At 50.4% G+C, this 25,308-nt stretch overlaps 2 protein-coding genes across 8 annotated transcripts in view, besides 4 other annotated features; one reads left to right on the top strand and one right to left on the bottom strand.

The window, feature by feature from the left end:
• The window catches only part of TMEM38A (transmembrane protein 38A), a 28,885-nt gene extending 7,370 nt beyond the window's left edge, over positions 1–21,515 (bottom strand). The window contains exons 1-4 of the mRNA NM_024074.4: positions 21,313–21,515; positions 2,514–2,670; positions 2,073–2,257; positions 146–233 (exon numbers count right to left, since the gene is read on the bottom strand). Coding sequence (NP_076979.1) covers positions 146–233; positions 2,073–2,257; positions 2,514–2,670; positions 21,313–21,436 — 554 coding nt within the window. The 5' untranslated portion in view covers positions 21,437–21,515. The remainder of the gene's footprint in view (positions 1–145; positions 234–2,072; positions 2,258–2,513; positions 2,671–21,312) is intronic.
• Positions 2,597–3,097: an enhancer, noted in NCBI's record as "H3K4me1 hESC enhancer chr19:16790368-16790868 (GRCh37/hg19 assembly coordinates)". NCBI's record gives its function as "activates a minimal SCP1, AML or CMV promoter by ChIP-STARR-seq in primed H9 embryonic stem cells {active_cell/tissue: H9 hESC(primed)}" and the evidence as "EXISTENCE:reporter gene assay evidence [ECO:0000049][PMID:30033119]".
• Positions 20,354–21,162: an enhancer, noted in NCBI's record as "H3K4me1 hESC enhancer chr19:16772303-16773111 (GRCh37/hg19 assembly coordinates)". NCBI's record gives its function as "activates a minimal SCP1, AML or CMV promoter by ChIP-STARR-seq in naive H9 embryonic stem cells {active_cell/tissue: H9 hESC(naive)}" and the evidence as "EXISTENCE:reporter gene assay evidence [ECO:0000049][PMID:30033119]".
• Positions 21,448–21,697: a silencer, noted in NCBI's record as "silent region_10314". NCBI's record gives its function as "represses an Ori minimal core promoter by ATAC-STARR-seq in GM12878 lymphoblastoid cells {active_cell/tissue: GM12878}" and the evidence as "EXISTENCE:reporter gene assay evidence [ECO:0000049][PMID:35858748]".
• Positions 21,718–21,917: a silencer, noted in NCBI's record as "silent region_10313". NCBI's record gives its function as "represses an Ori minimal core promoter by ATAC-STARR-seq in GM12878 lymphoblastoid cells {active_cell/tissue: GM12878}" and the evidence as "EXISTENCE:reporter gene assay evidence [ECO:0000049][PMID:35858748]".
• SMIM7 (small integral membrane protein 7) overlaps positions 22,510–25,308 on the top strand; it is a 29,394-nt gene continuing 26,595 nt past the window's right edge. For all 7 annotated transcript variants that reach the window (XM_047439418.1, XM_047439416.1, XM_047439417.1 and 4 more), the window contains exons 1-3: positions 22,510–22,569; positions 22,654–22,695; positions 23,207–23,259. In XM_047439418.1, coding sequence (XP_047295374.1) covers positions 22,544–22,569; positions 22,654–22,695; positions 23,207–23,259 — 121 coding nt within the window. In that variant the 5' untranslated portion in view covers positions 22,510–22,543. The remainder of the gene's footprint in view (positions 22,570–22,653; positions 22,696–23,206; positions 23,260–25,308) is intronic.

Below are 25,308 nucleotides of genomic sequence, written 5' to 3'. Positions count from 1 at the left end.
AGCTTCCCCAGTCATAGCCTCTGAAAGCTCCTGAAAGGCAGAGTCAAGGGTTGAGGCCTCTCTAAGTTATCAGCAGCATCCAACTCAGGGTCAGGCACCCGGACATACAGGAGGCATGGAGGGAGAGGTGGAGTGGGATACTCACAAAGACATGTGCAGGATCTCGTTGGTCTCTGGCTTCCAGACCCCTCGGAGCAGCTGCTCAAAGTTGGACATGAGGGCGACACCAGAACCTACAGGACAGGGTGCTTCTGAACAAGCCCACCACCCCCAGGTCTCCTTTCCTCTTGTTTGAATTCCCAAGGAAGCAGTCTCTCCACTCCCAGAATCTTCTCTAGAAGGACACTGAGCCTGGGGGTGTATGATCATCAGCTGCAGGTGGGGAAACTGAGGCTCAGAGAGGACAGAGCCTTGCTGAGGATCATATGGCAAATTCAGAGCAAAAGCCACCTAAAGGAATCAGTCATGTCCCCACCTGCAAGGCAGGTCTTCAACCTGGGGTTGTCTGTCCTGATGCCCCTAATCCAGGACCCCAAGCTGTGTATGAGGCTTCCAAGGCAGCCCCCACCCGCAGTCTCTCTCCTCCTCAAGGCTCCAAGTTCTTAATCTTTCTCAAGCCACCCATCCTCTGGAGGAGATGCTATACCCCTGGGGAATCTGCTCAGTACTAAAAGCTTCCTGGAGAGACAATAAGAAGACTCAAATGGAGATAGAATGATTAAATTTCTGGAAGAATCTTCCCATTTACCCTAAATGTACTGGTTAAATAGACTTGGACATCCACTCCAGGAACTGCTGCACCAACTGGGTGCCTGAGATGTACTACTGGACCAGGGAATCGCATCTGGGGCCATTTTGCCCCCAAGGAAGCATCTGGCAATGTTGAGAAACACTTTGAGTTGTCACAGCTGGGGAGGGAGCGCTACTGGTATTTAGTGAGTCGAGGCCAGGGAGGTGGCTCACCATTGTATAATGCACAGGTTGGCTCCCCATAGCAAGGAATAACTGAGGACACCATGGCTCAATGGAGGGTGATTCTAGGTCTTGGCACTTTGTGGGTACCCATATCTGGTGGGCAGGAAGCGAGGATAAAGTGCCCAATGGTTTTTGGCACTTGCTCAGGCCTTCTTTCCCTGCTTTCCTGTTACTCCTTGGCCCACTTCTCCAACTTTTAATGTTGAATTATCTCTTTCTCCCCTAACTTCTGTCCATTTTTGCTTTATGTATTTTGGTGCTCTGTTTCTAGGTGCATATATGTTTATAGTTGTTATATCTTCCTGGTGGATTGACCCTTTTATCATTATAAAACGTTCTTTATTTCTAATAACATTTTCATTATTACTTTATTTTTTAATTTTAATTTTTTAGAGACAGACTCTTGCTCTGTTGCCCAGCTGGAGTGCAGTGGCACAATCATAGCTCACTGTAATGTTGAACTCCTAGGCTGAAGTGATCCTCCCACCTCAGCCTCCTGAGTAGCTAGAACTACAGGCATGAGCCACCATGTCTAGCTCTATTTTCTGCACACGAAAGGGTCTGTAGGCTTCACTGGCAAAAGGGCCATGGTCCACAAAAGTTAAGAACTCCTATAGCTAGAGCTCTAGAGAAGAAGGGGTTCTCACCTGCAGCCATTTTGCCCTCTAGGAGGCGTTTAGCAATGTCTGGAGACAATTTCTTTGTCACAGCTGGGGACAAGTGTGCTACTGGCATCTCGTGGGTGGAGGCCAGGGGTGCTGTTCAACATCCTATAGTGCACAAGGCAGCCCCCACCACAAAGAATGATCCAGCCCCACATGTCAGTAGTGCTGCAAGTGAGAAAACCTGCTCTGGCAATGCTGGCTTTTGTCATCATCATCACTGTCTTAGGTACCCCTGACAGTAACATTTCTAGAAGAATCTTCCCATTTACCCTAAAGGTATCGGCTGATACCTGTAGGGAGGTTTGAACACCTACTGCAGTCTTTATGCCCCTGTGCCTGGAGCAATGGCTTTCCTAGCTGGGGTGCCTGGTAGTACCACTGAACCAAAAGTTCTCCACTGGGATGATTTTTCATTGTCATCATCCTATTTACCTTTGACCCACCCAGTTGCAATCATGACGAACCACCCGTGGTGGTAGTGGTGATGGGCGTGATGGATGCCCACCGCGATCTTGCGGACTCGCACCACCTCCTTCATGGCCACGAAGATGAGTTTCACAGGCAGGAAGCAGACACACTTGTAGAAGAGGTCCAGGGGGCAGAAGAAAATCAAGTACCTTTTGGGGAGAGAACAGTGAGTGCCAGGGGATGGGCAGACTGTGAAGGATGGGGGTAGGGAGCTGTGGTTATATCAGACCACCCTCCCCAACGTGCTGTGCCTAGACCAGAGATGGGCATGGAGGGCAGCATATTCAGGGCCATCATGAGGGCTGTTGCTGGTGCATTCTAATTCCTCCAACCTCTCTCCTCCCTGGTGCCCAGGTTGTTGTTTCCCCCACCCGGCTCTGCTCTCCCATGCCCAGCATGGCTTACCAGACAGCTGAGGCCAGCAGGATGCTGGAGTTGTTGCTGAAGTAATCGATCAGTGGCTCCCCAAGGAGCAGATCAGCCAGGATGTAGCTCCCGAAGCAATGCAGCATGGCGCACAGCCAGGACGCGATGGGGTGGCGCCGGGACAGTTCGACTGCTCCTGGGAGGCACAGGAGTGTCCCCCATCATCACCAGCATGCCAAGGGCAGGCTTCACTCCCATATGCTCTGGTCAGCCTATCCTAATCCAGAGCGCCCACCCAACACTGTGCAGTTTGTAAGTTTCAGAGGAGGAACCAAGGTTCAGAGAGGCTGTACGCATGCCTGAGGTTGCACAGAGAAAATAGAGAGCCGAGTGGGAGTCCTTTCCTTCATGCCCAGAGAGGTGGCAATGATGATGACACTAGTTCACATTTAGGACTTAATAAATCCTCATCAGTGTCCCAGCCAAGTGATGGCTTTTATTATCAGGAGTCTCATTGTCAAGAGGAGACTGAGGCTTGGTGAGACGGGCCAGCTTGTACCTGGGAGTACTTTGAAATTGCTACTCTGGGCCGGGCATGGTGGCTCACACCTGTAATCCCAGCACTTTGGGAGTCCAAGGTGGACAAATCACTTGAGGTCAGGAGTTCAAGACCAGCCTGGCTAACATGGTGAAACCCCGTCCCTAAAAATACAAAAATTAGCCGGGAACGGTAGTGCATGCCTGTAATCCCAGCTACTCAGGAGGCTGACAGGAGAATCACTTGAACTCAGGAGGTGGAGGCTGCAGTGAGCTGAGATTGCACCACTGCACTGCACTCCAGCCTGGGCAACAGAGCAAGACTCCATCTAAAACACACACATACACACACACACACACACACACACACACACACACACACACACACACGAAACAAAAGAAATTGCTATTCTGACCTCAGCTGATCCCAAGATCCCTATGAGCTTATGCTGGTATTCTTTTTTTTTTTTTTTTTTAACTTTTTTTGTTTGTTTCAAACAGAGTGTCACTCTGTCACCCAGGCTGGAGTGCAATGGTGCAATCTCAGCTCATTGCAAATTCTGCCTCCCAGGTTCAAGCGATCCTCCTGCCTCAGACTCCCGAGTAGCTGGGATCACAGGCAGCCACCACCATGCCTGGCTAATTTTTGTATTTTCAGTAGAGAAGGGGTTTCACCATGTTGGCCAAGCTGGTCTCCAACTCTTGGACTCAAGTGAACCTCCCACCTCAGCCTCCCAAAGTGCTGGGATTACAGGCATGAGTCACCGTGCCCAGCCTTATGCTGGTATTCTTACACCTGCTGTCTTAAAAAGAATTTTTTTTTGTAAAATATACATTAAATTTATCACTTTACTTTTTTTTTTTTTTTTTTTTTTTGGACACAGGGTTTCACTCCCATCACCCAGCCTGGAGCGCAGTGGTGCAATCACGACTCACTGCAGCCTTGACTTCCTGGGCTCAAACACTCCTCCCACCTCAGCCTCGAAAGTATTTGGGACTACAGGCACGCGCGCCACCATGCCAGGCTAATTTTTTGTATATTTAAAGTAGGCACGGGGTTTCGCCATGTTGCCCAGGCTGGTCTCAAACTCCTGGGCTCAAGCCATCCACCTGGCTCAGCTTCCCAAAGAGTTGGGATTATAGACGTGAGACACCATGCCCAGCCCATTTTAAACATTTTTAAGTGTATAGCTCTTTTTTTTTTTTTTTTTTTTTGAGACAGAGTCTCACTCTGTCACCAGGCTGGAGCGCGGTGGCGCGATCTCGGCTCACTGCAACCTCCTCCTCCCGGGTTCAAGTGATTCTCCTGCCTCAGCCACCCGAGTAGCTGGGATTACAGGCATGCGCCACCACGCCCAACTAATTTTTGTATTTTTAGTGGAGATGGGGGTTCACCATGTTGGCCAGGATAGTCTCAATCTCTTGACCTTGTGATCTGCCCACCTTGGCCTCCCAAAGTGCTGGGATTACAGGCATGAGCCACTGCCAAGTGGCTGGCCAAGTGTGTGGTTCTATGGCATTATATTCACATTGTTTTGCCATAATCACCACCAACCATCTCCAAAACTCTTTCATCTTCCCAAACTGAAACCTATTAAACACTCACTCCTCATCCCCCATCGCCTAGCCCCTGGCACCATTCTACTTTCTGTCTCTATGAAATTGATGACTTTAGGAATCTCATGTAAGCGAAACCATACAAACTTTGTTGTTTTGTGTGGCTTATTGAGCATAATGTCCTCAAGCTTCATCCCCATTGTAGCATGTATTAAGCTTTTATTTCCGGGCTGGGCACGGTGGCTCACACTTGTAATCCCAACACTCTGGGAGGCTGAGCCACGTAGATCACTTGAGCCTGGGTGTTCGAGACCAACATGGGCAACATAGTGAGACCCCACCTCTGCAAAAAATTTTAAAAATTAGCTGGGCGTGGTGGCATGCTTCTGTAGTCCCAGCTACTCGGGAAGCTGAGGTAGGAAGATCACTTGAGCTGGTGAGGTGGAGGCTGCAGTGAGTCATGAGCATGCCACTGCACTCCAGAGCAAGACCCTGTTGAGAGGGGAGGGGAAGGGAGGGAAGGGGAGGGGAGGCCAGCCTGGGCAACACAGTGAGACCCCATCTCTACAAAAAATTTTTTCTAATTAGCTGGGCATGGTGGCATGCACCTGTAGTCCCAGCTACTCAAGAGGTTGAGTTGGGAGGATCACTTGAACCCAAGAGTTTGAGGCTGCAGTAAGCCATGAGTGCACCACTGCACTCCAGCCTGGGTGACAGAATGAGACTCTGTCTCAAAAATAATAAATATATAAAGTCTGTAGTTGAGTTAATGATAGTGTACCCATGCCAATTTCCTGGTTTTAATAATGCACTATCATTACATAAGATGTCATTGGAGGAAGCTGGGTAAAGGGTATTTGCAAATTCTCTGTACCATTTTTGCAACTTCTTGTGAGTCATAAACTCTTCCAAGATAAGAAGTATTTTAAAATTCCATATTAAAAAGAAGGGGGCTTGAAAACCCCATTGCTGAGTCCTTAGGTCCTATAGCTGGGCTTTTTTTTTTTTTTTCTTTTTAAAAAAAGGGCTGGGCACGGTGGCTCATGCCTGTAATCCCAGCACTTTGGGAGGGCGAGGTGGGTGGATCACCTGAGGTCAGGAGTTCAAGACCAGCCTGGCCAACATGGTGAAACCTCATCTCTACTAAAAATACAAAAATTAGCCAGGCGTGGTGGTGGGCGCCTTTAATCTCAGCTACTCGGGAGGCTGAGTCAAGAGAATTGCTGGAACCTAGGAGGCAGAGGTTGCAGTGAGCTGAGATCGTGCCATTGCCCTCCAGCCCAGGCCAACAACAGCGAGACTACCTCTCAAAAAAAAAAAAAAAAAAAAAGGTCATGAAAATGCAACACTCGGGGTACAGTATTAATGTCTATTCACTAAATCCTTGCATCTTGTATTACTCATGTAAAGCCTTTATAATCTTTATAAATAGTTCTATCCTTATGTTGTATCTTCGTAATCTTCTAAGGCCACACCTTGGAGTTAGAACTTGTGTCTCCTGGTATGACCACTTCTTTCATCATATTGATTCTGTCTTTCCCAACTAGTTTCGTTTTGCAGAGAACAACTTTATGATCAAGTTGTAAGGTACAGCTACTCTGTACATTACATGACCAGAGCCAAAACCAACGATTCCCCTAATACAACTTATTCTAATGAAATGAAAACTACAGTCAGTATTGACATGAGATAACAAGGTCACAAAATGTAATCTCTCTCTTTTTTTGTTTGAGATGGAGTCTCGCTCTGTCCCGCAGGCTGGAGTGCAGTGGCGCAATCTCAGATCACTGCAAGCTCCGCCTCACAGGTTCATGCCATTCTCCTGCCTCAGCCTCCCTAGTAGCTGGGACTACAGGCACCCGCCAGCACGCCCAATTTTTTGTAATTTTAGTAGAGACGGGGTTTCACTGTGTTAGCCAAGATGGTCTCAATCTCCTGACCTCGTGATCCGCCTGCCTCGGCCTCACAAAGTGCTGGGATTACAGGTGTGAGCCACCGCGCCCGGCCAAAATGTGATCTCTTATTAGTCAAATCAAAAGACTAAGCAAAAGAAATAATCAGTTTTGTCTATTTTTAGCAGGGAAGAGAAAGAGTGTCTGTTGTGGACAGAATGTTTCTGTCTCTCCAAAATTCGTATGTTGAAATCCTACCCCTCCCCGCTTGTGATAGCATTAGGAGGTCGGGCCTTTGGGAGGTGATTATGTCACCAGGGTAGACCCCTCACGAACGGGGTTAGAGCCTTTATAAATGGTGGCTCACGCCTGTCATCCCAGCACTTTGGGAGGCTGAGGCGGGCAGATGACAAGGTCAGGAGTTCGAGACCAGCCTGGCCAATATGGTGAAACCCTGTCTCTACTAGAAATACAAAAATTAGCTGGGCGTTGCGGGAGGCGCCTGTAGTCCCAGCTACTAGGGAGGCAGAGGTAGGAGAATCGCTTCAACCCGGGAGGCAGAGGTTGCAGTGAGCTGAGATTGCACCATTGCACTCCAGCCTGGGCGACAGAGTGAGACTCTGTCTCTAAAAAAAAAAAAAAAAAAAAATAGTCAAGAGAGGCCAGGCGTGGTGACTCACACCTGTAATCCCAGCACTTTGGGAGGCTGAGGCCAGAGGATCTCTTGAGCCTAGGAGTTCCAGACCAGCCCTGGGAACATAGTGAAATCTCATCTCTAAAACAACAACAACAATAAAAATTAGCTGGGCGTGATGGCAGGTGTCTGTATTCCCAGCTACTTCTGAGGTGGGAGGACCACTTGAGCCTGGAAGGTTGAGGCTGCAGTGAGCCGTGATCAAGGCACTGCACTCCAGCCTGGGTGACAGAGCAAGACTCTATCTCAATAAATAAACAAATAAGAGTCATGAGAAAGCCTGCTGCTCTCTGCTGTCTACCATATGAGGACACAAGGAGAGGTTGATCATCTGCAAGCCAGAAGAGGGCCCTCATTAGAACTTGACCATGTTAGTGCCCTGATCTCAGACTTCCAGCCTCCAGAACTCTGAGAAATAAATTTGTTGTTTATCAGCCACCTGGTCTACTGGTTTATTGCCACTGCAACAGATTATAGCATCTGCAACAGATTAAGAAATCTGTATATACTAATGATACATTCAACGGGTGGATTTGATCTTCATCCCTCCGTGAGTTCAGCAACCACGGAGGCCTTCTCTGCCACTGAATGGGGGCTGTGTTGGACACATTGTATGGGTTCAAGAAATAACTGTGAATGAATTTATGGGAAATGTGCATCCCTCTGGGTCCTGGTTTTTTTTTGTTGTTGTTGTTTGTTTGAGACGGTGTTTCGCTCTTGTTGCGCAGGCTGGAGTTCAATGGCGCGATCTTGGCTCACTGCAACCTCTGCCTCCTGGGTTTAAGCAATCCTCCTGCCTCAGCCTCCCGACTAGCTAGGATTACAGGCATGGACCACCACGCCCGGCTAATTTTGTATTTTTAGTAGAGACAAGTTTTCTCCATGTTGGTCAGGCTGGTCTCAAACTCCCGACCTCAGGTGATCTGCCCACCTCAGCCTCCCAAAGTGCTGGGATTATAGGTGTGAGCCACGGCGCCCGGCCTTGGGTCCTGGTATTACAATAATGAACAAGACAGGTGAGGTCCCTGCCCTCATGGAATTTACATTCTAGCAAACATAAAGTCATCATGGTTGTGTTGGATCCCCCCAACTTTTTTTTTTTTTTTTTTTGGAGACAAGAGTTTTGCTCTGTCGCCCAGGCTGGAGTGCAGTGGTGTGATCTCGGCTCACTGCAATCTCCGCCTCCTCCTAGGTTCAAGTGATTCTCCTGCCTCAGCCTCCCAAGTAGCTGGGATTACAGGCACCTGCCACCACGCCTAGCTAAGTTTTGTAGTTTTAGTAGACAGGGGGTTTCTCCAAGTTGGCCAAACTGGTCTCGAACTCCTGACCTCAGGTGATCCACCCACCTTGGCCTCCCAAAGTGCTGGGATTACAGGCATGAACCACAGCGCCTGGCCCTGGACACTTTTTTTAAGAGACAGCATCTCGCTCTGTCACCCAGGCTGGAGTGCAGTGATGCAATCATAGCTCACTGCAGCCTCAAACTCCTGGGCTTGAGCCTTCCAAGTAGCTAGGAGTACAGACGTGTGCCACCATGCCTGGCCAATTTTTATACTTTTTTTTTTTTCTTTTTTTGTAAAGATAGGATCTCACTGTGTGGCCCAGGCTGCTCTTGAACTCCTGGCTTCAAATGATCCTCCTGCCTTGGCCTCCCAAAGTGCTGGGATTTCAGGTGTGAGCCACCAGCAGGCCTGCGCATTTCTGGTGACATTGTAACAACAATGACCTTCTCTGTTCCATTTATTAATTGAGAAAGGTGTAGTGCACTCTACTCTGTAAAAGGAATTACGTTCTTCTTAGCTTGGTCAACCTCACAGGGGGAAATAATCATCAATGCCAGAGTTTCTCCTACAAATCCAGGTGAGCGCATCAGTGGGCATTACCATGTTAGAGGCAACTTGGCAATACCAGGGAAATATGAAGCTGTGCATCCCCTGGACCCCAGCAATTCCACTCCTTGCTATTAACCCCAAAGAAACAAGCACCATAAACAAAGACTTAGAGAAGGAAGATGTTTCACTGATACAATGTTGCAACAGGAGAAAAGTGAAATCAACAGTCTCTTAGTAAAGCTGTGGGAAGCCACAAAATGTGGAGTGCCATAGAGTAGCTATTTAAAAGTGAACCAGGCTGGGTGCAGTGGCTCACCCAGCACTTTGGGAGGCCAAGGCAGGCGGATCACTTGAGGTCAGGAGTTTGAGACCAGCCTGGCCGACATGGTGAAACGCTGTCTTTACTAAAAATACAAAAATTAGCCAGGCATGGTGGCAGGTGCCTGTAATCCCAGCTACTCAGGGGGCTGAGGTAGGAGAATCGCTTGAACCCGGGAGGTGGAGGTTGCAGTGAGCCAAGATTGCGCCACTGCACTCCAGCCTGGGCGACAGAGGGAGGCTCCATCTCAGAAACAAACAAACAAACAAACAAACAAAAAGAAAAAGAAAAGTGAACTAGACCTTGATCAGGGTTTTTCAACCTCAGCTCTGTTGACATTTGGGATCAGATCATTTTTTGCTATGGGGGCATTCTGTGCATTATAGCATGTTAAGCAGCATCCCTGGCTTCCACCCACTAGATGACAGTGGCACCACACAGCTGTGACAACCAAGAATGTCTCCAGATATTGCCAAATTTATCCTTTGGGAACAGAATCCCTTCTGGTTGAGAATCTCTGTTTTAGATGTATCAACAAAGACAAGTCCCATAAGCTTACTGCTGAGTGAAAAGGTTGGGCTGCAAAATGATACACTTATGGCCGGGCTCAGTGGCTCACACCTGTAATCTCAACACTTTGGGAGGCCAAGGCAGGTGGATCACTTGAGGTCAGGAGTTCGAGACCAGCCTAGCCAACATGGTGAAACCCCCATCTCTACTAAAAATACAAAAAGTAGCCGGGCGTGGTGGCATGCGCCTGTAATCTCAGCTACTTGGGAAGCTGAGACATGAGAATCACTTGAATTCAGGAGGTGGAGGTTGCAGTGAGCCAAGGTCACACCACTGCACTCCAGCCTGGGCCACAGAGCAAGACTCTGCCTCAAAAAAAAAAAAAAAAAAAATGAGGTTTTTTTGTGATTTTTTTTTAAGCTCATCAGCTATCGTTAGTGTGAGTGTATTTTATGTGAGGCCCAAGATAATTCTTCATCAAACATGGCCCAGGGAAGCCAAAAGATTGGACATCCCTGTTTTAGAGTAAGTAATCAATACACTTGCCCCTCTCCTCGCTATCCCCACCAACTAACAATGTGATCTTGAACAAGCCACTTTTTTCTCTCCACATCTCTTTTTTTAAAAAACAAAGTAGAACGTTGCTTCTTTGTCTAACTCCTGATGAGGACTGGAATGAGCTTTTCCCTCCTCTAACCTCACCCTGGAGTTATGAGCCCAAAATGCAGCTTCTCCCTGCTCTCAAGGTTGTCCTACGTCTTACCATTGACCAAGGTCCTAGGGTATGAGGTAAAATGCTTCAGCTCCTCTCCTAGGGTCTATTTAAAACACAACTGGCTGAGAGTTAATCCCTCAGAGCAGCTGGTGGCCTGTGCAGAGGCCAGGTCGGGTGAGGCACCCATGTTTTGCAGAAATGGATACCTCTGCATCTAAAAATAACTCCCAGGGACTGAATTCTTTCCAGGATCTTTCTTGTGCCCTCTGGGATCATCCCAGGGACCGAGGTTGGGGAGTGGGGGTAGGGACCTAGCGTTTGCATGAGTTACGCTCTGACGGGCAGATGCCCATGTTTGCAGTATGTGTGTGCCCTGCTATAAAAGTCACATGCCGGCTGGGCGCGGTGGCTCACACCCGTAATCCCAGCACTTTCGGAGGCCAAGGCAGGCAGATCACTTGAGCTCAGGAGTTCAAGACCAGCCTGGGCAACATGGCAAAACCTCATCACATGCCTAGCTTCTGGCTCTGCTACTCACTCTAGCATGGCCTTGGGCAAGTGACTGCCTGCCCCCCCAAGCCTTAGTTTGCTTCACTGTCAAAAGACCAAGATGACGGCCAGGCGCAGTGGCTCACACCTGTAATCCCAGCATTCTGGGAGGCCGAGGCAGGTGGATCACTTGAGGTCAGGAGTTTGAGTTTGAGACCAGCCTGGCCAACATGGTGAAACCCCGTCTCCACTAAAAATACAAAAATTAGCTGGGTATGGTGGCGGATGGCTATAATCCCAGCTACTCAGGAGGCTGAGGCAGAATTGCTTGAACCCAGGAGGCGGAAATTGCAGTGAGCCAAGATCGTGCCACTGCACTCCAGCCTGAGTGACAGAGTGAGACTCCGCCTCAAAAAAAAAAAAAAAAAAAAAAGCCCAGGTCCTTTCCCCTTTCCATACTCCTTGGTTTCTCTTGATGGGTTTGGGACAGCCCCATGAAGCCAATAGGTTTTCAACTGCCGCATGCCATGAACACATTCCCCTCTGACTGGGTGAGCTTAGGCTAGTCCCTCCCTTCCCTGGGCCTCAGTTTGCCCATATGTAGGAGGGGGAGGCGGTCTAGGGTGACCAACTATCCCCCTTTGCCTGGGTCCCAGGGGTTTCCTGGGACATGGGACTTTCTTTTATTCTTTTTTTGAGATGGGGTCTTGCTCTGTCGCCCAGGCTGGAGTGTAGTGGTGCGATCTTGGCTTGATGCAACCTCCACCTCCCGGGTTCAAGTGATTCTCCTGCCTCAGCCTCCCGAGTACCTGGGATTACAGGCACCCGCCACCAGGCCCGGCTAACTTTTGTATTTTTAGTAGAGATGGGATTTCTCCATGTTGGCCAGGCTGGTCTCAAACTCCTGACCTCAGGTGATCCACCTTCCTCGGCCTCCCAGAGTGCTGGGATTACAGGCATGAGCCCCCGCACCCGGCTGGACATGGGACTTTCGATGCTCATCTTGGGAAAGCCTGGACAAGGTGACCACACCAGATCTATATCAGTCATTTCCAAAGATGCCTGTGAGGGTGAAAAAGAGATTGCTTAGCGCCTAGCAACGACGCAAGAGGTATTTCTGGAACAGTGCGGAAATGGAAAGTACCTGTGGGTGGAAATTTCAGTAGATGGATTTTTTAAAAATCAGCTCTGCCTCGGCTGGGCACGGTAGCTCATGCCTGTAATCCCAGCTACTCCGGCAGCTGAGGCAGGAGAATCGCTTGAACCTGGGAGGCGGAGGTTGCAGTGAGTCGAGATCATGCCACTGCACTCCAACCTGGGAAATAGGAGCAAAACTCTGTCTCAAAAAAAAAAAAAAACAAAAAACAGGCCGGGCGCAGTGGCTGATGCCTGTAATCCCAGCACTTTGGGAGACCGAGGCGGGTGGATCACAAGGTCAGGAATTCGAGATCAGCCTGGCCAATAGAATGAAACCCCATCTCTATTAAAAATACAAAAATCAGCTGGGCGTGGTGACAGGCACCTGTAGTCCCAGCTACTCGGGAGGCTGAGGCAGGAGAATCGCTTGAACCCATGAGGCGGAGGTTGCGGTGAGCTGAGATCGCGCCACTGCACTCCAACCTGGGCGATAATAGCGAAACTCTGTCTCAAAAAAATAAAATAATAAAATAAAAATAAATAAATAAATAAACAAACAGAAAAAAATCAGCTCTGCCTCAGAAGAGAGGAAAAAGCTTTGGGTCCCTAAGTCCTGGTCTGCAATGGACTCTGTGACTTTCCCTTTTCAGGGGTCAATGCCTCATTTGCAGATGACTGGGTGGTACTAGAAGGGTCCCCAGGGCACTCTAGCACTGTGCTATTCAGTCAGAGGTGTATGAAGCATGGGGTACTGACCGAGTCTCTCAGTGACTCTAGGACCAGTCTTCTCCTCCTGAGCTTTTGAGCTCAGCATTCTGCCTCAGTTTCCTCCCCTGTTAAATGGAGATAGCAGCCTCTCCCTCACAAGGTGGAGCAGGAGTCAACAGCCTCCTGCCCTCAAAAAGCTTGTAGTTCAAACCAGAGATCTCAAATCAGGGATCAAAGAATGGTTTTCTTTGGTCCTAACAGCATATGAAAAATGTTAAAACTTGTCTGGGTGTGGTGGCTCACACCTGTAATCCCAGCACTTTGGGAGGCTGAGGCGGGTGGATCACTTGAGGTCAGGAGTTCAAGACTAGCCTGGCCAACATGGTGAAACCCTGTCTCTACTAAAAACACAAAAATTAGCTGGGCATGGTGGCGGGCACCTGTAATCCTAGCTACTCAGGAGGCTGAGGCAGGAGAATTGCTTGAACCAGTGAGCCGGAGGTTGCAGTGAGCCGAGATCACACCACTGCACTCCAGCCTGGCAACAGAGTGACTCCGTCTCAAAAAAAAAAAAAAAAAGTTAAAACTGCAACCAAGATGTCCTGCAGGGAGTGAGTGGATAAACAAACCATGAAACATCCTTACTATGAAATACTATTTGGCCGGGTGCAGTGGCTCACGCCTGTAATCCCAACACTTTGGGAGGCCAAGGCGGGCAGATCACCTGAGGTCGGGAGTTCGAGACCAGCCTGGCCAACATGGAGAAACCCCATCTCTACTAAAAATACAAAAAATTAGCCAGGCGTGGTGGCACATGCTTGTAATCCTAGCTGCTTAGGAGGCTGACACAGGAGAATCACTTGAACCTGGGAGGCAGAGGTTGCAGTGAGCCAAGATCAAACCATTGCACTCCAGCCTGGGTAACAAGAGCAAAGTCCATTTCAAAAAAAAAAAAAAGAAAGAAAAAGAAAAAAGAAAGAAATATTATCCAGTGAGCTATCAAGACATGAAAAGACATGGAGGAACCTTAAATGCATATTCCTAAGTGAAAGAAGCCAGTCTGAAAGGGGTACATACTGCATGATTCCAACTAAAGGACATTCTGGAAAAGGCAAAACTCTGGAGGTAGTAGAAAGAAAGATCAGTGGTTGGCCGGGTGCAGTGGCTCATGTCTGTAATCCCAACACTTTGGGAAGCCAAGGCAGGTGGATCTCCTGAGCCCAGGAGTTCAAGACCACCCTGGGCAACACAACAGAACCCCCATCTCTTTTTTTTTTTTTTTTTTTTGAGACAGAGTCACTGCAACCTCCGCCTCCCCCCAGGTTCAAGCAATTCTCGTGCCTCAGCCTCCGGAGTAGCTGGCATTACAGGCTTGCGCCACCATGCCTGACTAATTTTTATATTTTTAGTAGAGACAGGGTTTCACTGTGTTGGCCAGGCTGGTCTCCAACGCCTGGCTTCAAGTGATCTGCCTGCCTTGGTGTCCCAACTTGCTGGGATTACAGATGTGAGCCACCTCCTTCAGCCCCATGATTCTGAGTTATTTATTTAATTAATTTATTATTTATTATTTATTTTTCTGAGACAGAGTCTTGCTCTGTTGCCCAGGTTGGAGTGCAATGGCATGATCTCTGCTCACTGCAACCTCCGCCTCGCAGGTTTAAGTGATTCTCCCACCTCGACCTACCAAGTAGCCAGGACTACAGGCGCCCGCCATCACGCCTGGCTAATTTTTGTATTTTTAGTAGAGACAGGGTTTCACCATGTTGGTCAGGCTGGTCTCAAACTTCTGACTTCAGGTGATCCACCAGCCTCAGCCTCCCAAAGTGCTGGGATTACAGGCGTGAGCCACCATGCCTGACCCACAATTCTGATTTAAATGAAAGAGGGGTGACAATCAGGACAAAAGGATTTTTTTTTTTTTTTTTCTGAGACGGAGTCTTGCTCTGTCACCCAGACTGGAGTGCAGTGGCAAGATCTTGGCTCAATGCAAACCTCCACCTCCCGCGTTCAAGCAATACTTGTGCCTCAGCCTCCCAAGTAGCTGGGATTACAGGTGCACACCACCATGCGTGGCTAATTTTTGTATTTTTTCTTAGTAGAGACGGGCTTTCACCATGTTGGCCGGGCTGGTCTCGATCCTGACCTCAAGTGATCCACCCGCCTTGGCCTCCCAAAGTGCTGGGATTACAGGCATGAGCCACCACGTCTGGCCCAAAAGGATTTTTAAAATCTCCCTAGGTGAGTCTGGTGTGTAGGTGAGTTTGAGAAGTACTGGTCTGAGAGATTCTTTGGATGGGTCAAGGCTCAAGGCAACCAGGATTGTCATTGATTCACTCATTTCTTCAGTTTTGCAGCCAGCACTCAACTGCTTCCTTCTCTTTCCTCACATGGAGCTTGGAGGCCCCAGAAATGAGCCAAATCACCCGCAGATTTTGCTCAAATACAGACTCTCATTGGGCAGAGCTGGGTGGGGCCTGGGTTCTGCATTTCTTTCTCTTTTTTTTTTTCCTGAAATGGAGTTTCACTCTTGGCTCTTGTTGCCCAGGCTGGAGTGCAATGGCGCAATCTCGGCTCACTGCAACCTCCACCTCCCTGGTTCAAGTGATTCTCCTGCCTCAGCCTCCTGAGCAGCTGGGATTACAGGCGTGTGCCACCATGACTGGCTAATTTTTGTATTTTTAGAAGAGACAGGGTTTCGCCATGTTGGCCAGGCTGGTCTCGAACTTCTGACCTCGGGTGATCCGCCCGCCTCGGCCTCCCAAAGTGTTAGGATTACAAGTGTGAGCCACTGAGCTTGGCCAGAACTCTGCATTTCTTTTCTTTTTTTTTTTTTTGAGATGGAGTTTCGCTCTTTTGCCCAGGCTGGAGTGCAGTGGTGCGATCTCAGCTCACTGCAACCTCCATCTTCTGGTTTCAAGCGATTCTCCTTCCTCAGCCACCCAAGTAGCTGGGATTACAGGAGCCCGCCACCATGCCTGGCTAGTTTTTGTATTTTTAGTAGAGACGGGGTTTCACCATGTTGGCCTGGCTGATCTCAAACTCCTGACTTTGTGATCCAGCCACCTTGGCTTCCCAAAGTGCTGGGACTATAGGCATGAGCCACCGCAGGGGCTCTGCATTTCTAATCAGCTTCCAGGTGACATTGACACTGCTCAGTTGAGGACCACACTCTGAGCTTCATTCTTTCTCAGGATTCTCAAGAAAGCCTCACCCAGCCAGGCACAGTTGCTCATGGGAAGCTGAGGTGGGAGGATTGCTTGAGCCCAGGAGTTGGAGGCCACAGTGAGCTATGACTGTACTACTGCACTCCAGCCTGGGAGACAGAGCAAGACCCTGTCTCGAAAAAAAAAAATTTTTTTAAAGTTAAATTGGCCAAGAGCAGTGGCTCACACCTGTAATTTCAGCACTTTGGGAGGCTGAGGCGGGTGGATTACTTGAGTTCAGGAATTTGAGACCACCCTGACCAACATGGTGAAAACTCATCTCTACTAAAAATACAAAAAAAATGGGCCAGGCGCAATGGCTGATGTCTGTAATCCCAGCACTTTGGGAGGCCAAGGTGGGCGGATCACGAGGTCAAGAGATTGAAACCATCCTGGCCAACGTGGTGAAACCCCGTTTCTACTAAAAATACAAAAATTAGCTGGGCATGGTGGCGCGTGTCTGTAATCCCAGCTTCTCGGGAGGCTGAGGCAGGAGAATCGCTTGAACCCGGCAGGTGGAGGTTGCAGTGAGCCGGGATCGAGCCACTGCACTCCAGCCTAGAGACACGGCAAGACTCCGTCTCCAAAAACAAAACAAAACAAAAAAATTAGCTGGGTGTGGTGGTGGATGCTTGTAATCCCAGGTACTTAGGAGGCTAAGGCAGGAGAATCACTTGAATCTGGGAGGTGAAGGTTGCAGTGAGCTGAGATCGTGCCACTGCACTCCAGCCTGGGCAGCAAAACAAGACTGCATCTCAAAAAAAAAAAAAAGGAAAAGAAAAGAAACAGAAAAGTAAGCAAGCCTGACCCAGAAAATGCCAGTATCCCAAGTAATATATTCCTCCCTAGACTTCCAAATAAACATCACCACCCCTCACAAATGCCTTAGACCTTATCCCTGACAAAATTCTCAATAGATCTTTACAATCGCTAGGAAAGGGAGTCTGGGGTTCTCTTACCAATGATCCCATTTCACAGACAAATAAACTGAAGCTCATGGTGGTGAAATAACCATTGTGGTGTTTACTCAGTGCTAGTGGTAGAACTGACTCCCATGATTCAGAGACGTTTAGTTTCTTTTTTCTTTTTTTTTTGAGACAGGGTCTCACTCTGTTGCCCAGGCTGGAGTGCAGTGGCACGATCATGGCTCACTGCAGCCTCCACCTTGCAGGGTTCAGGTAATCCTCCGACCTCAGCTTCCCTAGTAGCTAGGACTACAGGCACATGCCACCACACCTGGCTAATATTTTTGTATTTTGCATTTTTTAATTTTTATTTATTTGTTTATTGAGACGGAGTTTCATTCTTGTTGCCCAGGCTGGAGTGGAATGGCACAATCTTGGCTCACCGCAACCTCTGCCTCCCAGGTTCAAGCGATTCTCCTGCCTCAGCCTCCCTAGTAGCTGGGATTACAGGCATGTGCCACCACGTCCGGCTAATTTTGTATTTTTAGTAGAGACAGGGTTTCTCCATGTAGGTCAGGCTGGTCTTGAACTCCCGACCTCAGGTGATCTGCCCACCTCAGCCTCCCAAAGTGCTCGGATTACAGGCATGAGACACCGCGCCTAGCCATTTTTGTATTTTTTATAGAGAAGGGGTTTCACAATGTTGCCCAGGCTGGCCATGAACTCCTGGCCTCAAGCAATCTTCCAACCTTGACCTCCCCAAATGCTGAGATTATCTGACCTATGCTGACATTCTTTTTTTATTATTATTATTATTTTTTTAGGAGACACGGTCTTGCTCTGTTGCCCAGGCTGGAGGGCGGTGGGGTGATCATAGCTCGCTGCAGCTCCCAGGCAACATTGATGCTGCTCTGTTGAGGACCACACTCTGAGCTTCATCCATTCTCAGGATTCTCAAGAAAGCCTGACCCAGCCAGGCGCAGTTGAGCTCCAACTCCTGGGCTCAAGTGATCCTCCAGCCTCAGCTTCCCAAGTAGCTGGGACCACAGACACACACCACCATGCCTGGCTATGAAATTCTTAATTTCTGAACAAAAGGCCCCACACTGATACTTTGTATCGGCCTGGCAAATTCTGTAGCTGGTCCAGCACACAAATTCTGAGAAGAAAATTTACAGATACCCAGCACGCACACCAAACTGGGACTAACAGTTCAATCCGACACCTCACTTTTCTTTTCTTTCTTTCTTTTTTCCAAGACAGAGTCTCAGCCAGGCTCTGTCACCCAGGCTGGAGTGCAGCAGCGAGATTTCGGCTCACTGCAACCTCCGTCTCCTGGATTCAAGCTATTCTCATGTCTCAGCCTCCCAAGTACCTGGGATTACAGGCGTGCGCCACCACACCTGGCTATTTTTTTGCATTTGTAGTGGAGACGGGGTTTTGTCATGTTGCCCAGGCTGGTTTCAAAGTCCTGGGCTCAAGTGATCCACCCGCCTCGCCTCCCAAAGTGCTGGGATTACAGGCATAAGCCATCACATCTGGCCTCCAACACCTTTCTTTTCTAAGGAAACCAATCTCACATCAATTGTACTGATTCTTAGAGTCAAGCAGACCTGGGCTGAGTCCCGAGGCTGCAACTGACCAGCCATGGGACCACAGGCTCATTGTGTATTTAAGATAGCTTAGCCACTATTTCCTGTTTCCCCAGTTATGAAAGGAGGAGGTTGAACTGGGTGGAGTATCCTCAGCCCTGATAACAGACATCAGTCACTGAGGGAGGGGAGATTAATATTCTGATTCAATTGGTGGGGGGTGGAGATAGGGGGTTTAAAAGCTCCTAGGAGGCCGGGCGCAGTGGCTCACACCTGTAATCCCAGCACTTTGGGAGGCCGAGGCAGGCGGATCACAAGGTCAGGAAATCGAGACCATCCTGGCTAATACGGTGAAACCCTGTCTCTACTAAAAATACAAAAAAAAAAAAAATTAGCCGGGCATGGTGGTGGGCGCCTGTAGTCCCAGCTACTTGGGAGGCTGAGGCAGGAGAATGGTGTGAACCCAGGAGGCGGAGCTTGCAGTGAGCAGAGGCGGCGCCACCGCACTCCAGCCTGGGCGACAGAGCGAGACTCCGTTTCAAAAAAAAAAAAGAAAAGAAAAAAAGCTCCCAGGAGCGTCTCATGAATTCATGAATAGCCAGGGTTTGGAACCACTTCTCAGCCTTCAGGAACCTTCAGGCTCTGGCACTTAGAGCCTGGATGGCTTATTCTAGGACTTCTGCAGAAATATCTTGAACCTTCCTGCAAGTTCCCAGGCAGCTTGGAGACCTCTTTTCTCAAGACATTTGTGTCCTACATTCCCACAGGGCTCCAACCCTCCTCAGTTTCAGATTTTTTTTTTTTTCGAGACAGAGTCTTGCTCTGTCGCCCAGGCTGGAGTGCAATGGCGTGATCTCGGCTCACTGCAACCTCCGCCTCCCAGGTTCAAGTGATTCTCCTGCCTCAGCCTCCCAAGCAGCTAGGATTACAAGCATGTGCCACCATGCCTGGCTAATTTTTTTATTTTCAGTAGAGACGGGGTTTCTCCATGTTGGCCAGGCTGGTCTCGAACTCCTGACCTCAGGCGATCTGCCCGTCTTGGCCTCCCAAAGTGCTGGGATTACAGGCGTGAGCCACTGTGCCCAGCCAGTTTCAGATTTTCTAAGGTTCTGCAACTGCCCAAGGAACTGGCCTGAACCACCAAGAATTCTTCCCCAGAAAGGAAAGATAGCCCCATGTTCATGCTAGGACAACACAAAAGCCTATTTTGTTTTGCAAAGTAATGTTCTCCAGGATAGCTTTTAAGAAAATAGGCTCTGGCATGTGGATAGGCAAAAATAGAATAAAAATTCCTAGCAAATAGAGTGTAATCCTGTTAGCATAAGAGCGTGCATTGGCTGGGTGCAGTGGCTCACGTCTGTAATCCCAGCACTTTGGGAGGCCTAGGTGGGTGGATCACAAGGTCAGGAGATCGAGACTATCCTGGCCAACATGGTGAAGGCTTGTCTCTACTAAAAATACAAAAATTAGCCAAGTGTAGTGGCGGGTGCCTGTAGTCCCAGCTACTCAGAAGGCTGAGGCAGGAGAATCGCTTGAACCTGGAAGGTGGAGGTTGCAGTGAGCCGAGATCACGCCACTGCACTCCAGCCTGGGCGACAGAGCGAAACTCCATCTAAAAAAAAAACCGCAAAAAAAAAAAAAAAAAAAAAAGCGTGCATTTACGTTTATAACTATATAGCCGTAAATGAATAGAAGAGACATCAAGAAAGGTGGCTGGCCACCAGTATGTTGACAGTAATTCTCTTTTTTTCCTTTGCCCTTTTCAGTTTGAGTTTTTAGTAAACAGGGGCGCTTATTTTTATCCTCTGAGAATAAAGCTATTTCCTTTCTGAGCTATAGTGGTAATTTACATCTAAGTGGGAGAAAGGCTTATGAAGTTTGGGGTTCCTTTATTTTTCTAAGCCTAAAATCTATTATCTAGTAAGTTGCTGGTGTTCTAGAATAACGGTGAACAAGAAACATTTAAACATTTGTTCACGGTGAACCTTTTATAAAAATAGAACACGTTCTAAGGAAGCCATTCATCCTCATTTTAAAAATTAAGAAGCAGGCTGTACCCTCCTGTGACCTCCCCAGCGTGGAGTCTGGAGCTGAGATGGAGGACACTGACCCCAAGTCACCCAGCCTTGGGGCCGGTTCTGCTCCGTAAGTGGAAAGGATCTGGAGCCAGGGCTGGAAGAATTCCCGTGGGGGCTCGGAGATTCAGCACCGTGGGGGAAGGGAGGGGAGTGGAGGGTGCTGGGCAGTTGCAGTGGGGAGGAGAACCGGTGTCACTTTCGCTGAACCTGACCGCAGCCCCCAGCGCAGTGGCCCTTATAGACACTCCGCTGGCGCTCTCAATCCGCGTGCCAAGGTCAAGGAGGGAGGTCACACCTGCGCGCGGCCAGAACAGATGCACCGACCCCCACCTGCACCCTCGCCACAGCCGGCGCCCCTTGCCCAAGTTCCTGCAGCTCTGACCCAACCAGGAGCCCCGACCCCAAGCACCTGTTCCCCCTCCTCTAAACCCGCGCACGCCTCTCCTTCCCCTCCCCCAGCTTCATCGTCCTGGGGGCTTCTCCCCCGGGCTCACCCCGGCGTGAGAGAACCCCACGATTCTAGCGCCTGCCTACTCCCACGATGCAATCCTTGAACCTGTCCCTCGCTCCCTCCACCACGCACGGGCTTCCCCTCTCTGCGACCCCCGAGCTGCCCCGGCCCGCGCCACCCGCTGCCGGTCCCCTCCAGCCCCCCGCCCCGGCTCACCTGGCTCATACTTGAGGTAGAGGATGGAGACGATGAAGTAACTGAGGTCGAAGACGGGGAAGAGCGGCACCCGCGAGAAGCTGAGCGCCAGTTCGCCCAGGCTCAGCGCCGAGAGCAGCTCCATGGCGCCCGCCTGCCCGCCTGCCGGGTGCCACCCGGGGCCCCGGCCTCGTCCGTCCCGCCGCCCGCGGCCCGGCGACTGCGCCCCCGCAGCTGGGCCCGCCCCCGCCCGCCAGGCGCCACCCCAGGCCCGGCCCCCGCGGGAGAGGAGGGGCGACGGCCCACCCCGGGACAGGTGGTGGGGACGCCCAGCACCACGGACGCAGCTGGACGGTCGGGCGTCCCAGGCGTTGACCCTCCTGCCATCGCTACCCCGTTCCGCCCAGCGAGGCGGGGTGCGGGGCACCCGTGCAAGGCGAGGGAGGCTGGGGAGCTGCCTGTTCTGGGGGCCCGTCCCTCACGGAGCCCACCCACGCGGGACGCCCGTTCCCAGGGGGCCGGATCGGCCAGGACTTTGTCCCCGTGGGCTCAATTAGGACCCCGATCTTCGGTGGAGCCCAGTGAGGACCCCTACGCCATGGTGGGACCCCATGAATCAGAACCCCTGTTCCCCGTGGAGATAGGTTAGGACCTCGGTCCTCTGTGGAGCCCCGTCAAGACTTTTCTGCCCCATAGGGTCCGTTCGATCAGGAACCCCGTCTCCGGTGGGGCTCTGCAAATCAGGACGTCTTGTGGGGGGCAGCTCAGTGGGAACCCCCGTTCCCCATGGGGCCCAGGAGGATCTCATTTTAGAGCCCAGTTGGTTGGGGCACCCGTTTCTAGGGACCCCACTGCGTCAGGACCCCGCACCCTGTGCAGCTCAGGAGTCAAAGGATTCCTTTTGTCCAGAAGCCCAATTTGGGACCCCAGAAAGTGAGTAGGAATTGCTGCCCAGCTAACCCTACGGCATCGAGACCTCACGCATGCGCGGCACGCTTCGAACGCGTGACCCAATCCCGCCCCCAGGAGACCCCGCTCCTCCCATTCTGGCTCTCGGGGCCTCCCCAGCGAGGTGGGGCGCTCGCGCTCCCCTAAGGGGGTCTGGCCTGCAGAGGGCGGGACCCTCCCAGCCTTGACCTTCGATTGGCCCAGCCCTCGCCACTGTTGCTTTAGGATTGGTCGGCTTGTGCTCCTCTCCCCTCCCTCCCTGGGGCTTCCGCTTCCGGTTCTGACGGACGCTTCGGCCGTAACGATGATCGGAGACATCCTGCTGTTCGGGTAATTAGGGGGACCAGAGGCTGGGAAGAGAGAGCCAGGCAGGACGCGGGGGCGCCCCTAGTAACTGTAATTCTCCCTCTGCAGGACGTTGCTGATGAATGCCGGGGCGGTGCTGAACTTTAAGCTGTGAGTAGGTCGCGGCCGGACTGCGGCTCCATCCGGGGAACCCGTAGCCCCGCCCTCATAAGCGTGATCTCGGCGCACTTCTCAGGCCCCGCCCCCAAGCCGCAGGCCCCGCCCTATCCGCCCTCTGGGCACGCCTCCAGCCTGGTTTATCTTCCTCGCCCCCCACCCCCCGAGAGACCTTAAACCCATACTCTCCGTTCCTTGGTTGTCCCTCTGTTCACCTTCCTGGAGAGCTTAAGCCCCATCCCCCAAGAAATAGCCCCACCGCGGACCTTCCGCCCTGCACCCGCACTGTCGGGCCACTTTGTAAACGGTCGGTGGCTGCTGACCTGGCTGTGATTGTCCGGGCAGTGGGGGCCCAGAGAAGGGTATTGAACGTCAGAGGTCACACAGCAAGTTTGCGGCAGGGCCAGGGCTGAAACTTAGTGTTTGTGGCCTTCTGAGCTGGGGGTCAGGGGGCTGAGGACTCTATGTCCCATTGAAAGTGGACACTGTCTGCTCCTCTTTGTAGGAAAAAGAAGGACACGCAGGGCTTTGGGGAGGAGTCCAGGGAGCCCAGCACAGGTAAGGTCTAATTGGATCCTGGAATTGCATGGTCCACTTCAGAGGACAGTTCTGTTTCGCCAAGCCCTACCTTCGTTTTCTTTCTTTCTCTTTTTTTTTTTTTTTTTTTTTTGACACAAGGTCTTGCTCTGTTGTCCAGGTTGGAGTGCAGTGGTGCGATCATGGCTCACTGCAGACTCGACCTCCTGAGCTAAAGTGATCCTTCCACCTCAGCCCCCTTAGTAGCTGGGATTACAGGTGTGTGCCACCATGCCAGGCTAAATTTTGTATTTTTTGTAGAGATGGGGTTTCTCCACGTTGCCCAGGCCGGTCTCGAACTCCTGGGTTCAAGTGATCCCTGCCTTGGCCTCCCGAAGAGCTGGGATTACAGGCGTGAGCCACAAGTTTTCTCTTTAATTGAGCGTGTGTGTGAGTGGGAGATGACTGAGAATGTGCTAGCCTTTCTGCCTACCTCTGTCATCTATTTCTTTCTCCTACCAGACCTCCCTGATGTGAGCACTCACATCACTTCCTACCGTTATAATGTTCTGTTATGTTTGCTGTCATCTGGCTAATGTCTGCCCCTCACATATGACTGTAAACTTCAGAGAAGAGGCCCTAGCTTGGCTTGTCCCATCCTTTGTTCTTGCCGTACCCGTCCTCCGATGCCTGTGAATGAATGAATGAACAACCTCACACATAGCTGTTGCTTTCAGAGTGCTGCAGACCTGCCACTTTTAAAATTAGATGCCAACATTAGATTTTTAATCAGGAGATTTTATATAAAAATTAAGATGTCTGATTTTTCTTGAAAAATTGGAACATTCTGCAACTCAAGATTCAGGAGAGCTGTTTGCATCTATTGAGTGTAGTTGAGAAGGACTCTGAGGAGGTGGGGCCTGTAGACTCTGCCTCATCCCAGCCCTAACCCCTTCATATGTCTATCATCTGCCTGGGCCCTGGAGGCCCCAGAATTTACACTTCCTGCTGAATTTGATTGTGTAACTATTTGGAGTCTTAAGGGGATCTGTACATGACTATTGTATCCATTCATTAATTCTTTCATTCACCAGATATTTGAGTACCTAACGCATGCTGGCTACTGTGCTAGGTGCTGGGGTACAGCAGGGGTAAGACAGATAGAGTGGAACTTACCATGGGGTGGGACACATGGTTTCTAAGCAGGGAATAGATAGTGACAGAGGTGACGTTAGGTGACAGAGGCAGGGAGTCACAGGATGGTGATGGGGTTGCCCTCCTGCTGGGGTGTGGAAGGGAAGGCCATTTGAGGAGGCGGCGTCACAGTCAAGGCGGTGGATGCCATGATGGAGCACTGCCCAAGGATGGGGGAACCCTGAGGAACAGAGGTTTTCTTCTTTTAGAGACAGGGTCTTGCTCTGTTGCCCAGGCTGGAGTGCAGCGGCACAGTCATAGCTCACTGCAGCCTTGAGCTCCTGGGTTCAAGAGATCCTCTTGCCTCAGGCTCCCAAGTAGCTGGGACTACAGGCACTTACTACCACGCCTGGCTAATTTTCTAAATGTTTTTTGTAGAGATAGGTATCTCGCTGTGTTAACCAGGCTGGTGTCCAACTCTTGGTCTCAAACGATCCTCCCACCTCAGCCTCCCAAAGTGCTGGGATCACAGGCATGAGCTACCACGCCTGGCCGAGCTGAGATTTTGAAGACACTCCAGCAGCTCCCCTTTTTGGGGGCCTGCCCTTGGGTGCTGACCCAGTTAGGTGCTTCCTGTTAGTGTTGCATTCTCCCTCCATTCTTAAAAGATAATGGTCACTTTCCCATTTTACAGATCAGGAAACTGAGGGTCAGAGATGTGGCTCAACTTTTTTGTGGCCACATAGGGAATCAATGAGAATCAGGATTAGAACCTGGGTTTTTCTGACTCTAGCGGTTGTGCACTCAATCACTAGACCATCTGTCCGTCTATCCATTGATCCATCCATTCATACATTGACTCAGCAGCCATGTGTTACTTAACCCCCACGTGGAAGGCACTACCAGGCCCTAGAGTTGCACTGTACAGATCCGAATCAGAGCTCCAGTGGGCGGGAG

The sequence above is a fragment of the Homo sapiens genome, chromosome 19 (genome assembly GCF_000001405.40).
Source record: "Homo sapiens chromosome 19, GRCh38.p14 Primary Assembly".
Classification (NCBI taxonomy): domain Eukaryota; kingdom Metazoa; phylum Chordata; class Mammalia; order Primates; family Hominidae; genus Homo; species Homo sapiens.
The sequence above is the reverse complement of the archived record's forward strand: the minus strand, read 5'-3'. Positions and strand labels throughout refer to the sequence as shown.